Source organism: Homo sapiens, chromosome 6 (genome assembly GCF_000001405.40).
Source record: "Homo sapiens chromosome 6, GRCh38.p14 Primary Assembly".
Taxonomy (NCBI): domain Eukaryota; kingdom Metazoa; phylum Chordata; class Mammalia; order Primates; family Hominidae; genus Homo; species Homo sapiens.
The window spans coordinates 29,170,688-29,185,920 of NC_000006.12; the positions used below are offsets into that span (position 1 = coordinate 29,170,688).

General features: G+C 36.6%; 1 protein-coding gene and 1 pseudogene across 1 annotated transcript; both read left to right on the plus strand.

Annotated features, from left to right (window-relative positions):
- Window positions 1-219: 219 nt before the first annotated feature.
- Window positions 220-5,124, plus strand: OR2J2 (olfactory receptor family 2 subfamily J member 2). Its single transcript, NM_030905.3, has 2 exons — window positions 220-418; window positions 2,932-5,124. The coding sequence occupies exon 2, from the start codon at window positions 2,949-2,951 to the stop codon at window positions 3,885-3,887; it is 939 nt and encodes a 312-aa protein (NP_112167.2). The 5' UTR covers window positions 220-418; window positions 2,932-2,948; the 3' UTR covers window positions 3,888-5,124.
- On the plus strand, window positions 10,823-11,755 carry OR2J4P (olfactory receptor family 2 subfamily J member 4 pseudogene; annotated as a pseudogene).

Here is a 15,233-nt window from a genome sequence, read left to right on the forward strand (position 1 = left end):
ACCAGGACAACTCCTTGAAGGGCATTAATTGCAGCTTTGGGATTTATACTCCCAAAGGCTGCAGTCAATGAAAGAGTATCCCGTTATTCTTTTTGTTTCCATAAAGATTACATTTGCTCTGGGATAAAGGGTCCATCCCGTGATACCTTGAATGCCCTAAAGTATTCCCACATTCTGCTAAAAAGCAGATCTTTTGGACAAACTCAGGCTCTCTTTTCTGTAGCAATGACAATCACAGTTATTTCCAGACTCTGTTCTTCATAGTTAGATTTAAAACATTGGCAAAAATGTTATAAGAAGGCAATTAGGTTGATGTTTTTAGGTTGTATGGCAACCAGAGAGCCCCTTCATCAGTTTATACCTGATGAGGTTGTAGGCCAGGTAGAGAGTGACAGGGAACAGGGACAAACACAGGAAGGTCAGTACTGAAAGAAGTTGGTGCACTTCTTAAGGGGTAGACAGCTTCCATATTTCAAAATTGCAGAAAGTGTAGATTTTAAATGTTCTTACTACAAAAATATGATGGTTGTGGGGTGATGGATATGTTAACTAGCTTAATATAATCATTCTATAATGTATATATACATCAAAACATTACAGTGTACTCCATAAATATATACAATTATTACTAGTCAATGAAAAATTAAGAAAACAAACCAGATATAGTATAAAGGAATGGATGTGACACAAATTGGCATAATGTCTCTTAATAATAATTGGGGAAGGAAGAGACACTCAGCCATCCATTTTCCCTATAGTATTTGATTTAAAAAAAGAGAGAAGATATTTTATTCTACAACTCATAAAAGCTACATTTGATAGGGTCTTCATTTCCCTCTTTTCCACCAAGAAGAAAATTGAAGCTGAGACTTTTCTCTACATGAGTTCTGGGGGTTTTTTTGTCCCTTATTTCCTATCCCTTTTATCAACTCCGGAGGAATGCTGAAAGATGGGTCATATAACAGATAGTTATCAGATTCCACCTTTTAATTACTGTAATAAGGAACTCAGGCAGCTGCATTCGGAAAGAAAATTAGGTCGGCATCAGCAAAAGTATCCACAGCATTTGAGTTCAAGTATCTTATGGCATATTACCTTTCATCTTAGGGAGATTTAAAAAAATCCTTGGAATTTTCCCATGATTTCTCAAAAGGTTAATGCTCATTCCATTACCAACAATATGGAAAAATGTACAGTATCTTTGTACCAGTCTGGAGCATTTGCACAGATTTGGCCCAAGTTCAATGTTCCTAGCTCTCCAGCTGTAACTCAACCAGTTAGGCAACTCCTTACATCTTTTTCAAGAGTCAAGATTACAATACTTGAGTTATTAAAAGTTTTTCAAAACACTGAAGGTGAGTCGGGTGTAGATATTAGTTTTTTGAGACAGAGTCTTGCTCTGTCACCCAGGCTGGAGGGCAATGGCATGATCTCAGCTCACTGCAACCTCCACCTCCTGGGTTCAAGCGATTCTCCTGCCTCAGCCTCCAGAGTAGCTGGTATTACAGGTGCCCACTACCATGCCTGCCTGGCTAATTTTTGTATTTTTTAGTAGAGATGGTGTTTCACCACGTTGGTCAGGCTGGTCTCAAACTCCTGACCTCAGGTGTTCCACCTGCCTCGGCCTCCCAAAATGCTGAGATTACAGGCATGAGCCACCACGCCTGGCCTCTTTTGCCAAATTTATCAGAGAGTATAAGAGGAAGAGTTGGCTGTGGCAGGAGGGGAGCAGAAGGGGGATGGCAAAACTATGTAGGAATATTGAAATGCTGGGTTCCTGTATTTTATTGCAAAAACTATATCATAAAAGAGTGTTTATCTTTCTCATGCAAGATTGGTAATGTGCAAGAGAAAATAAGCAACTGAAAATCAAGCTATCAAAGCATATTTGAATTTCTTCATTTTAAAAAAATAACTACAAGGTGAATTTTCTGGATTTTATACAATGTTCACGTATCTTTCTACTAATATTAGTTAATGTCTGTTCAGAAGCTCCATTAAAAATTGTGGAAAACCCAGAAAATACAAATTATAAATTGTGACTCAGAATTTAAAGTATAGTTCAGTTATTGGCCTAAAGCATATACAGTTTTGTAGAAACCATGTTTAAGTCTTCTTGTCCTTGTCTAACAAACTTGTTATACATTCTTTCAACTTCGCATACCACATTCAGACCTCTCTTCACTGTTGTGCATCCAAACACTCTCCATTTCTCTCTTACCAACCTATGTTTTTGTTAGACTCTGTAATCTTTATGTCTTCCAGTAATATAGTCTCATTTACCTTTGGAAGCATTCTATCACCGATCACTCTATTTTGCTGTATTAATCAGCTTTGTGTATATTGTGAATTTTTATAAGTTGGTGTGTGCGTGCATATTCTCTTTAAACTTTGATTTGTGCATTATTTTATTTGTCTAGAAATAAACTGCTAGCATAAATAGCATTTGATTCTTTCTATAATCATATTCAATTATTTCTTTTCAGTTAATATTTTAAAGTGACTATCTAATTGCTTTTTAATATGGGAAATTCCTATCTATAAGTAAGATCAGTAAGACTGCTGTTATTCCTTTCTCTGTAATTGCAAAATTGGAAATAGCCTGAAAATATAAAAATAATTTGACTTTTTAAAGTAAAAAATCATTTTTCATAAATATTGTGTTCCTGATTATGGACTATCTTAGTCTTCATTAATCCAAATGTTAATTCAGGGATGTATATAAAGAACTCAGTAACTTGAGAAGCTATTGCTTGTATCTGTAGCTGGATAAATATCTCAATGAAGCATATAAAGGGAACTGTATAAAAATTCTACTACCATTATGGTGCACACTCTCTGGAAGTGGGATACTTTTGTCTTCAATCTGTTTGCAAGTGAGCGGTTGACAATGCATGGACAGACTTTGAGTTTATGTGGTTCTTTCTTTAGGTATAAGAAAAAGATGAATGATGATTAAAAAAAATGCAAGTTCGGAAGACTTCTTTATTCTACTTGGATTTTCTAATTGGCCTCAGCTGGAAGTAGTTCTCTTTGTGGTTATCTTGATCTTCTACCTGATGACACTGACAGGAAACCTGTTCATCATCATCCTGTCATACGTGGACTCCCATCTCCACACACCAATGTACTTCTTCCTTTCAAACCTCTCATTTCTGGATCTCTGCTACACCACCAGCTCTATCCCTCAGTTGCTGGTGAATCTCCGGGGCCCGGAAAAGACCATCTCGTATGCTGGTTGCATGGTTCAACTTTACTTTGTTCTTGCACTGGGAATCACAGAGTGTGTCCTACTGGTGGTGATGTCATATGATCGTTATGTAGCTGTGTGTAGACCTTTGCATTACACTGTCCTCATGCACCCTCGTTTCTGCCACTTGTTGGTTGCGGCTTCTTGGGTAATTGGTTTTACTATCTCAGCACTTCATTCCTCCTTTACTTTCTGGGTACCCCTTTGTGGACATCGCCTAGTGGATCACTTCTTCTGTGAAGTTCCAGCACTTCTGCGTTTATCATGTGTTGACACCCATGCAAATGAGCTGACCCTCATGGTCATGAGCTCCATTTTTGTTCTCATACCTCTCATTCTCATTCTCACTACCTATGGTGCCATTGCCCGGGCTGTACTGAGCATGCAATCAACCACTGGGCTTCAGAAAGTGTTTAGGACATGTGGAGCCCATCTTATGGTTGTATCTCTCTTTTTCATTCCAGTCATGTGCATGTATCTCCAGCCACCATCAGAAAATTCTCCTGATCAGGGCAAGTTCATTGCCCTCTTTTATACTGTTGTCACACCGAGTCTTAATCCTCTAATCTACACTCTCAGAAACAAGCATGTAAAAGGGGCAGCGAAGAGACTATTGGGGTGGGAGTGGGGGAAGTGACAGGGAAATCATGTTGTCTGTTGTCATTGTTTTTCCTAGGGTCTTAGCCATCTTGAAAGGTGGTTTCCCTGCTTCTTTGTGATTTATTTTTGTTCTAACAGCTCACAAAACAGAATAGTTCAGTCTCACATTTGTTGCTCTTTTTATTATTTAGTTCTGAAATATTATGTTGAGATAAAGTTTCTGATTAGTGCCACTTTGTTCTTTTACAATTGTATATTTTATTTCTGTGAAAATTGTGGACTGTGGTTTCAACGTAAATAAATGTGCATGCGAATAGTTATGAGGAGATTATTTCAAAAATGTTGGGAATATTTCTAACAATGTGCTAAATTATGAACTGATGATATATACAGAAAGAGAAGGGCAATATTGCAAAGACTTAGGCTAAAAAGGTTTTTGGTTATTGAATAAACCTTAAATGAAGCTAAAAATAGTCACAGCAAAGAAAAATGGTAAACATAATGAATAACATTGTTTAAGATATGGTAAAGGATATATCATAAGTATTTGGTTGAAAGACACTTTTTAAAGACACTAAATTATCTAATTTATCCTGTAGGTCTACATACTTGTCACATTGAACAGTAAACTAATATCTCTTTAAAATGGCTCTTTCGTTCATCTGTCCATTTATTCATTAACTTATTCTTTATTAGCTAAATCTTATTGAATGTGTACTCTCTTCCAGTTTGTGAAATTCTTGGTAACATGTATAAATATAACATACTCTGTCTGAACAGAACACACTCTCTGTCAGGAAAAATGGCAACATAAAAGATGAAGTATCTGTGCATGGCTTAATTTGTCACTGGGGGTAATGCTAATACATTAAGACAGCTTTTAAAAGTCAGAAACAATAAACTCTGATTACTCTTCAGATTGTATAAATCTTTCTTTCACTTTTTAAAAATCAAAAACAAGGCCGAGCACGGTGGCTCACACCTGTAATCCCAGCACTTTGGAAGGCCGAGTCAGGTGGATCATGAGGTCAGGAGACCAAGACCATCCTGGCTAACAAGGTGAAACCCCATCTCTACTAAAAATACAAAACAATTAGCTAGGCATGGTGGCACATGCCTGTAGTCCCATTGAAGCTAAACTTTTTTTTCACTTTACATGAACATTTTGAAATCACTACTAAATTCAATATTTTCAACATATTATTTCATCCGTATGTAAAATTATTGGGATTGCAATTGTTATGTTTTCTATAATCACATTTTTGAAAATAACCTGAAAATGCTGAAAAGAAAAGTTCCTTATTCATTAACAAAGAAAAATTTTGTGTTTTATGGAAATTATCTTCCTTAGCTAGGTTAGAAATTTCTTTCAATTACCATTTACCTAGAAGTCACCATAAAATGAATGGGAAGAACTCGATAGTTATTCTTCTATAAGGCAAATATATGAATAAAATATAAAATTAAAAAATTGTTTTCTATTTTTTGTGACTTTTTATTATGGTAAAATTTCAAACTTAGAGAAGAATTGCAAAAAAGTAGTACAAAGACTGACATTTACCCTATAACCAGATTAAGCATTAGTTTACATTTTCCCCCAAAGCTTTGTTATATCATCTATCTATCTATCTATCTATCTATCTATATCTCTATCATCTATTATATCTATCTATCTATCTATCTATCTATCTATCTATCTATCATCTATCTCTTTTTCTGCACTAGCTGAGAGTAAGTTGGAGATGCCACGTACCTTTACACCAAGTACTTTTTTTTTTAATTATTAGGTCATTTTTATTCCTTTTAAATTTTTTATTTTGTGTTAATTATTTGTCTGCATTCTATGTACATAACTGTATTGGAGTTTCAGTTTCATATTAAGTTGTATAAACTTTTGTGTTCCAAGGTTATACAAATTCATATGTATTTTCTTAGTTCATTGCCTCTTATTTTGGTTTGTTACAATTTGTGATGTTAAAAGTCTAAAAATGTGTGCGTGGTTAATACTATCTATTGTTCATTAACATTGTGGTTTCTTCCTTTTCTTAATGCTATAATGTTCTTTTATTATAATTATTATTATTATACTTTAAGTTCTACGGTACATGTGCACAACCTGCAGGTTTATTACATATGTATACATGTGCCATGTTGCTGTGCTGCACCCATTAACTCGTCATTTACATTAGGTATATCTCCTCATGCTATCCCTCCCCCCACCACACAACAGGCCCCGGTGTGTGATGTTCCCCTTCCTGTGTCCAAATGTTCTCATTGCTCAATTCCCACTCATGAGTGAGAACATGCGGTGTTTGGTTTTTTGTCCTTGGGATAGTTTGCTGAGAATGATGGTTTCCAGCTTCATCCATGTCCCTACATGGACATGAACTCATCATTTTTTATGGCTGCATAGTATTCCATGGTGTATATGTGCCACATTTTCTTAATCCACTCTATCATTGTTGGACATTTGGGTTGGTTCCAAGTCTTTGCTGTTGTGAATAGTGCCGTAATAAACATACGTGTGCATGTGTCTTTCTAGCAGCATGATTTATAATCCTTTGGGTATATACCCAGTAATGGGATGGCTGGGTCAAATGGTATTTCTAGTTCTAGATCCCTGAGGAATCACCACACTGACTTCCACAATGGTTGAACTAGTTTACAGTCCCACCAACAGTGTAAAAGTGTTCCTATTTCTCCACATCCTGTCCAGCACCTGTTGTTTCCTGACTTTTTAATGATTGCCATTCTAACTGGTGTGAGGTGGTATCTCATTGTGGTTTTGATTTGCATTTCTCTGATGGCCAGTGATGGTGAGCATCTTTTCATGTGTTTTTTGGCTGCATAAATGTCTTCTTTTGAGAAGTGTCTGTTCATGTCCTTCGTCCACTTTTTGATGGGGCTGTTTGTTCTTTTCTTGTAAATTTGTTTGAGTTCATTGTAGATTCTGGATATTAGCCCTTTGTCAGATGAGTAGCTTGCAAAAATTTTCTCCCATTCTGTAGGTTGCCTATTCACTCTGATGGTAGTTTCTTTTGCTGTGCAGAAACTCTTTAGTTTAATTAGATCCCATTTGTCAATTTTGGCTTTTGTTGCCATTGCTTTTGGTGTTTTAGACATGAAGTCCTTGCCCATGCCTATGTCCTGAATGGTATTGCCTAGGTTTTGTTCTAGGGTTTTTATGGTTTTAGGTCTAACATTGAAGTCTTTAATCCATCTTGAATTAATTTTTGTATAAGGTGTAAGGAAGGGATCCAGTTTCGGCTTTCTACATATAGCTAGCCAGTTTTCCCAGCAGCATTTGTTAAATAGGGAATCCTTTCCCCATTTCTTGTTTTTTTCAGGTTTGTCAAAGATCAGATAATTGTAGATGTGTGGTATTATTTCTGAGGGCTGTATTCTGTTCCTTTGCTCTATATCTCTGTTTTGGTACCAGTACCATGCTGTTTTGGTTACTGTAGCCTTGTAGTATAGTTTGAAGTCAGGTAGCGTGATGCCTCCAGCTTTGTTCTTTTGGGTTAGGATTGGCTTGGCAATGCGGGCTCTTTTTTGGTTCCATATGAACTTTAAAGCAGTTTTTTCCAATTCTGTGAAGAAAGTCATTGGTAGCTTGATGGGGATCGCACCGAATCTATAAATTACCTTGGGCAGTATGGCCATTTTCGCGATATTGATTCTTCCTATCCATGAGCATGGAATGTTCTTCCATTTGTTTGTATCCTCTTTTATTTCATTGAGCAGTGGTTTGTAGTTCTCCTTGAAGAGGTCCTTCACATCCCTTGTAAGTTGTATTCCTAGGTATTTGATTCTCTTTGAAGCAATTGTGAATGGGAGTTCACTCATGATTTGGCTCTCTGTTTGCCTGTTATTGGTGTATAAGAATGTTTGTGATTTTCGCACATTGATTTTGTATCCTGAGCCTTTGCTGAAGTTGCTTATCAACTTAAGGAGATTTTGGGCTGAGATGATGGGGTTTTCTAGATATACAATCATGTCATCTGCAAACAGGGACAATTTGACTTCCTCTTTTCCTAATTGAATACCCTTTATTTCTTTCTCCTGCCTGATTGCCCTGGCCAGAACTTCCAACACTATGTTGAATAGGAGTGGTGAGAGAGGGCATCCCTGTCTTGTGCCAGTTATCAAAGGGAATGTTTCCAGTTTTTGCCCATTCAGTATGATATTGGCTGTGGTTTTGTCATAAATAGCTCTTATTATTTTGAGATACGTTCCATCAATACCTAGTTTATTGAGAGTTTTTAGCATGAAGGGCTTTTGAATTTTGTCAAAGGCCTTTTCTGCATCTATTGAGATAATCATGTGGTTTTTGTCTTTTGTTCTGCTGGATTACGTTTATTGATTTGCGTACGTTGAACCAGCCTTGCATCCCAGGGATGAAGCCCACTTGATCATGGTGGATAAGCTTTTTGATGTGCTGCTGGATTCGGTTTGCCAGTATTTTATTGAGGATTTTTGCATCGAGGTTCATCAGGGATGTTGGTCTAAAATTCTTTTTTTGTTGTGTCTCTGCCAGGCTTTGGTATCAGGATGATGCTGGCCTCATAAAATGAGTTAGGGAGGATTCCCTCTTTTTCTATTGATTGGAGTAGTTTCAGAACGAATGGTACCAGCTCCTCCTTGTACCTCTGGTAGAATTCGGCTGTGAATCCGTCTGGTCCTGGACTTTTTTTTGGTTGGTAAGCTACTAATTATTGCCTCAATTTCAGAGCCTGTTATTTGGTCTATTCAGAGATTCAACTTCTTCCTGGTTTAGTCTTGGGAGGGTGTATGTGTCGAGGAATTTATCCATTTCTTCTAGATTTTCTAGTTTATTTGCACAGAGGTGTTTATAGTATTCTCTGATGGTAGTTTGTGTTTCTGTGCGATCGGTGGTGATATCCCCTTTATCATTTTTTGTTGTGTCTATTTGATTCTTCTCTCTTTTCTTCTTTATTAGTCTTGCTAGCAGTCTATCAATTTTGTTGATCTTTCAAAAAACCAGCTCCTGGATTCATTGATTTTTTGAAGGGTTTTTTGTGTGTCTATCTCCTTCAGTTCTGCTCTGATCTTAGTTATTTCTTGCCTTCTGCTAGCTTTTGAATGTGTTTGCTCTTACTTCTCTAGTTCTTTTAATTATGATGTTAGGGTGTCAGTTTTAGATCTTTCCTGCTTTCTCTTGTGGACATTCAGTGTTATAAATTTCCCTCTACACACTGCTTTAAATGTGTCCCAGAGATTCTGGTATGTTGTATCTTTGTTCTCGCTGGTTTCAAAGAACATCTTTATTTCTGCCTTCATTTCGTTATGTACCAGTAGTCATTCAGGAGCAGGTTGTTCAGTTTCCATGTAGTTGAGTGGTTTTGAGTGAGTTTCTTAATCCTGAGTTGTAGTTTGATGGCACTGTGGTCTGAGAGACAGTTTGTTATAATTTCTGTTCTTTTACATTTGCTGAGGAGTGCTTTTCTTCCAGCTATGTGGTCAATTTTGGAATAAGTGTGATGTGGTACTGAGAAGAATGTATATTCTGTTGATTTGGGGTGGAGAGTTCTGTAGATGTCTATTAGCACTGCTTGGTGCAGAGCTGAGTTCAATTCCTGGATATCCTTGTTAACTTTCTGTCTTGTTGATCTGTCTATTGTTGACAGTGGGGTGTTAAAGTCTCCCATTATTATTGTGTGGGAGTCTAAGCCTCTTTGTAGGTCTCTAAGGACTTGTTGTATGAATCTGGGTGCTCTTGTATTGGGTGCATGTATATTTAGGATAGTTAGCTCTTCTTGTTGAATTGATCCCTTTACCATTATGTAATGGCCTTCTTTGTCTCTTTTGATCTTTGTTGGTTTAAAGTCTATTTTATCAGAGACTAGGATTGCAACCCCTCCCTTTTTTTGTTTTCCATTTGCTTGGTAGATCTTCCTCCATCCCTTTATCTTGAACCTATGTGTGTCTCTGCATGTGAGATGGGTTTCCTGAATACAGCACACTGATGGGTCTTGACCCTTTATCCAATTTGCCAGTCTGTGTCTTTTAATTGGAGCATTTAGCCCATTCAAGACATTTACACCAAATATTTTATTCAATGTTTCTTGTCTAAGAAGAAGGATGTTATTTTACATAAGTCCTGCACAGTACCCAAATCAGCAAATTTAATATGGGCACAATATTATTATCTAATCCATAGTCCACAGTGAGATTTCTTAAATAGTCCCAATAATTTTGTTAATAGCCACTTTTTAAAAAAATCCCAGATGATACACTGAGAAATCACATCTCACTAGTCTCCTTCCATCTGGACCAGTGCCACAGCCTTTGTTTGTCTACTTAAACTTGATACTTTTGAATTGTACAGGCAAACTATTTCTCTCAATTAGAGTTTTTCTCATGTGTCTTCATTATTAGAATTAGTCTGTGTATTTTTAACATAAATATCACTGAGGTGACATCATGTCCTGTTCAGAGCAGCATCTCAGCAGTCTCATGATGTTGGTTTGTACAAATACAGGTGATCTTAAGATCAATAAAATCACTTGGTTATGTTGGTGTCTGCCAGGTTTTTCTACTGTAAACTTCACTGTTTTTCAGTTTGAAATTAACAAGAAAGTTGTGAGGAGATATTTTAGACTATGTACATGTCCTGTTCCCCATCAAATTTTTATCCACTAGTTTTGCAATCATTTATGTTTTTCTTAACACCATTATCCCTTCTATGTTTATTAATTAGGGATCTACTGTTAGGAATGGCTTTTTCTTCACCATTCATTTATTTACTCTTACTTTTTATATCAGTACGAGCTTTATAATTCTTCTTTTGTTAAGTTCATTACTACTAATGGTTAAATTGTCCTACAATTAAATGATGGCAAGCCCTTCAAACTGGATTTTATTTTTTTTACGTATCCTGATGTTTTTTGGAGCATTTGTTTACTGCTTTTTGAGTTTACCTGATTTTTTTTTTCTCTCAGGTAATAGGAAATGAATGATGATGGAAAAGTCAATGCTAGCTCTGAGGGGTACTTTATTTTAGTTGGATTTTCTAATTGGCCTTATCTGGAAGTAGTTCTCTTTGTGGTTATTTTGATCTTCTGCTTGATGACACTGATAGGAAACCTGTTCATCATCATCCTGACATACCTGGACTCCCATCTCCATACTCCCTTGTATTTCTTCCTTTCAAATCTCTCATTTCTGGATCTCTGCTACACCACCAGCTCTATCCCTCAGTTGCTGGTCAGTCTCTGGGGTGTGGGAAAGACCATTTCTTATGCTGGTTGCATGGTTCAACTTTACTTTGTTCTCACACTGGGAACCACAGAGTGTTTCCTACTGGTGGCGATGTCCTATGACCGTTATGCAGCTGTGTGTAGACCTTTGCATTACACTGTCCTCATGCACTCTCGTTTCTGCCACTTGTTGGCTGTGGCTTCTTGGGTAAGTGGTTTTACAAACCCAGCACTTCATTCCTCCTTCACCTTCTGGGTACCTCTGTGTGGACACCGCCAAATAGATCACTTTTTCTGTGAAGTTCCGGCACTTTTATGATTATCATTTGTCAATACCCGTGAAAATAAACTGACCCTCATGATCACAAGCTCCATTTTTGTTCTGCTACTTCTCACCCTCATTTTCACTTCCTATGGTGCTATTGCCCAGGCTGTACTGAGGATGCAGTCAACCACTGGGCTTCAGAAAGTATTTGGAACATGTGGAGCTCATCATATGGTTGTATCTCTCTTTTTCATTCCGGCCATGTGCATGTATCTCCAGCCACCATCAGGGAATTCTCAAGATCAAGGCAAGTTCATTGCTCTCTTTTATACTGTTGTTACACCTAGTCTTAACCCTCTAATCTACACCCTCAGAAACAAAGATGTAAGAGGGGTAGTGAAGAGACTAAGGGGGTGGGAGTGAGCCTGTGTTTGTGTGATATTAACAATATAATGGAGTCTTTCCTCACAATGATTCATCCATCTGTTCATTTATCAACCATTCTTTTATTCACTCACTCTGTTAGCACTTGCTGAGCATGTACTCTAACAAAGTCGTGGAGATCCTGGTAACAGGTAGGAATAAAACACATTCAGCTTAAATACCATTCACTTTTGGAGAAAACAGCTGTGTAAAATCAAGATAAAACATCTATAGTGATGTTTTTCCATGGCACAAACCTAATGAATACAAGAAAGACTTTTCCTGATTAAAAATAAGGCATGAAATTTGTTGTAAATATTGATAAAAGTGAAGTTATAATTCCTATGAAAAGATGATACTCTCAATTTTAAAATATCTAGAATATGTCTTTTAATTTTTTGCTGTTTAGGCAGAATACTTTTGTCTTCTATCTTTAGTTTAGTTGAATACACAGCAAAATACTTCAAATCCTTTCCTCCAACACTACTTATTTTTTGTTGGATGTAAATTTTGAGAGGAATTTTGGTCCATATTCTTTGATATCCAATATCAATAGTAAGACAATAAGTTTTATAAATTGTAGCAAGAGAGATGTTGAAGCAGTGTAGCAGAAGTCGGCGTCCAAGATCCCTCTTTTTTACAAGGCAGTGAGAAGGATATTGGAGGTGAAAGGAGCTGGTAAAGCTGACCTATGTAGCTTATAAAGAAATGGTCATCACCGTCTAGGTATACTTAGGTGAGGTAAGTGCTTGGAGCAACTGCATTACCTAAAGAGCTATGGAGAACATTTGAGGCAAATAGAGAGGCTCTGAAAATGACTTGAAGTCAATGGGTGTATAAAAGAATTATGTTTAAATATACTGGAAAATTTTTATGATAAAAGCTGTTATATGGAAAATGTTAGTTTATTTTTATTTTTAAGTTTGTTCTAATTTGAATATTTATAGTTAATAAGTATATTAGGAATATCAATATATGGTTTCAAATAAATATATTTTATAGAAGTTATCATTTTGTTCTATATATTATTGTCAACCATCTTCATCTGAAATAATTGCGTTATACCTAGAGCAATTTAAACTGACAGTCATAGTCAAATGATGTGGAAAAATGACTAAAGGAGAATTCAGTATAATGTAACGTACTTGCAATGCCTGAGTTTTCTCTATAACTGGAATGTCAGCTGTAGCTTTTGAGGCCTGTGAGATTTGGATGTGATTGATTCACACACTATTTCCTAAATTATAAAAATAAAAATGCATCTCGGAACTTCCCTCCAATTTCTAGTGTGACTTGCAATTGCATTGATTCTGCTGACTTTATCTTCTTTCTGCATCTGTGACTCTTCCTTTATTTCTAACTAGGCATGAAAAATATGAGTCATTTGCCCTTGTCCTTAAGCTTACCCAAGAAATGAAGAACCAAGAATAGTGTATGTAAAATAACTTCTAGTAAACAATTGAGACCACTTAGGGTAAAACATCACATAAAAACAAATTTTTTAAAACTTAAAGAACATAGCTTAGCTCTTTGAACTATTTCCTACTATGGAAATCTTACGATTTGTAACACTTCCTGTAGCATCCTGGTTTCTCACCTACTCAAATATCCTCTCCATCTTTATTAAGTGAAAAGTTGTATTTATTTATGATATACAGCATAAAGTTTTGATATATGTATAATTATGCAATTATTATTCAAGCTAATTAACAAATCATTAACTCACATACTTACCTGTTTTGTGGTGAGAACATTTAGGATCTGTTATCTTAGCAATTTTCAAGTATGCAGTACAGTTTTATTAACTATAGTCACCATACTATAGAATAGATCTCTTGAATTTATTCCTTCTAACTGAAACTTTGTACCCTTTGACCAGCATCTCCCCATTTTCCCTCCCTCCACTGCTAACCCCTGACAAGCCTCATTCTACTACTTTGTGCTTCTATGAGTTCATTTTATGTAGATTTCACACATTAGATCGTACAGTATTTATTTTTCTGTGCCTGGCTCATTTTACTTAGCAAAGTGTCCTCAGGTTTGCCATGTGTTTGAAAATATTAGGACTTCCTTCTTATTTTAAGGCAGAATAGTATTCTATTGTATATAAACTACACTTTTTAAATTCACTCATTCATTGATTGACTCTTAGATTGATTCAATACTTTGGCTATTATGAATTTGCTGCCATATTCATGGAAGTGGAGATAGCTCTTCAACATAGTGATTTAATTCTTTTGGATATAAACCCAGAAGTGTGATTGATGGATCATATGGCAGTTCTATTTTTATTTATTATTAATTAATTAATTAATTAATTTTTTGAGACAGAGTCTCGCTCTGTCGCCCAGGCTGGAGTGCAGTGGTGGGATCTCGGCTTACTGCAACTCCCACCTCCTGGGTTCTAGCGATTGTCTTGCCTCAGCCTCCAGAGTAGCTGGGACTACAGGTAAGCACCACCACGCCCAGCTAATTTCTGTATTTTTAGTAGAGACAGGATTTCTTGTGTGTGTGTGTGTGTGTGTGTGTGTGTGTGTGTGTGTCCTAGCAAATCTTTAATTACCCTAAGGCTGATGTAGTTTCTCGTATAAGTTCTTATGAAATCTTTTATTTTTCATTATTTTTATGTTTATTTTACTTTAAGTTCTCGGATACATGTGCAGAATGTGCAAATTTGTTACATAGGTATACATGTGCCATAGTGGTTTGCTGCACCTATCAACCTGTCATCTAGGTTTTAAGCCCCATATGCATTAGATATTTGTCCTAATGCTCTCCCTCTCCTTCCCCCTGAACCCGTGACAGGCCCCAGTGTGTGATGTTGCCCTCCCTGTGTCCATGTGTTCTCATTGTTTAACTACCGCTTATGAGTGAGAACATGCAGTGTTTAGTTTTCTGTTCCTGTGTTATTTTGCTGAAAATAATGGTTTCCAGCTTCATCCATGTCCCTGCAAAGGACATGAACTCATTCTTTTTTATGGCTGCATAGTATTCCAAGGTGTATATGTGCCACATTTTCTTCATCCAGTCTATTATTGATGGGCATTTGGGTTGGTTCCAAGTCTTTCCTATTGTAAATGGTGCTGCAATAAACATACATGTGCATGTGTCTTTATAGTAGAATGATTTATAATCCTTTGGATATATACGCACTCATGGGATTGCTGGGTCAAATGGTATTGCTGGTTCTAGATCCTTGAGGAATCGCCACACTGTCTTCCACAATGGATGAACTAATTTACTCTCCCACCAACAGTGTAAAAGCATTCCTATTTCTCCACAGACTCGCCAGCATCTGTTGTCTCCTGACATTTTAATAATTGCCATTCTAACTAGTGTGAGATGGTATCTCGTGGTTTTGATTTGCATTTCTCGAATGACCAGTGATGACGAGCTATTTTTCATGTGTTTGTTGGCTCCATAAATGCCTTCTTTTGAGAAGTTTCTATTTATATCCTTTGCTCACTTTTTGATG

Excerpts from the sequence above, each read along its gene's own strand:
- OR2J2 (NM_030905.3), top strand. The coding sequence starts at position 2,949 with ATGATGATTAAAAAAAATGCAAGTTCGGAAGACTTCTTTATTCTACTT.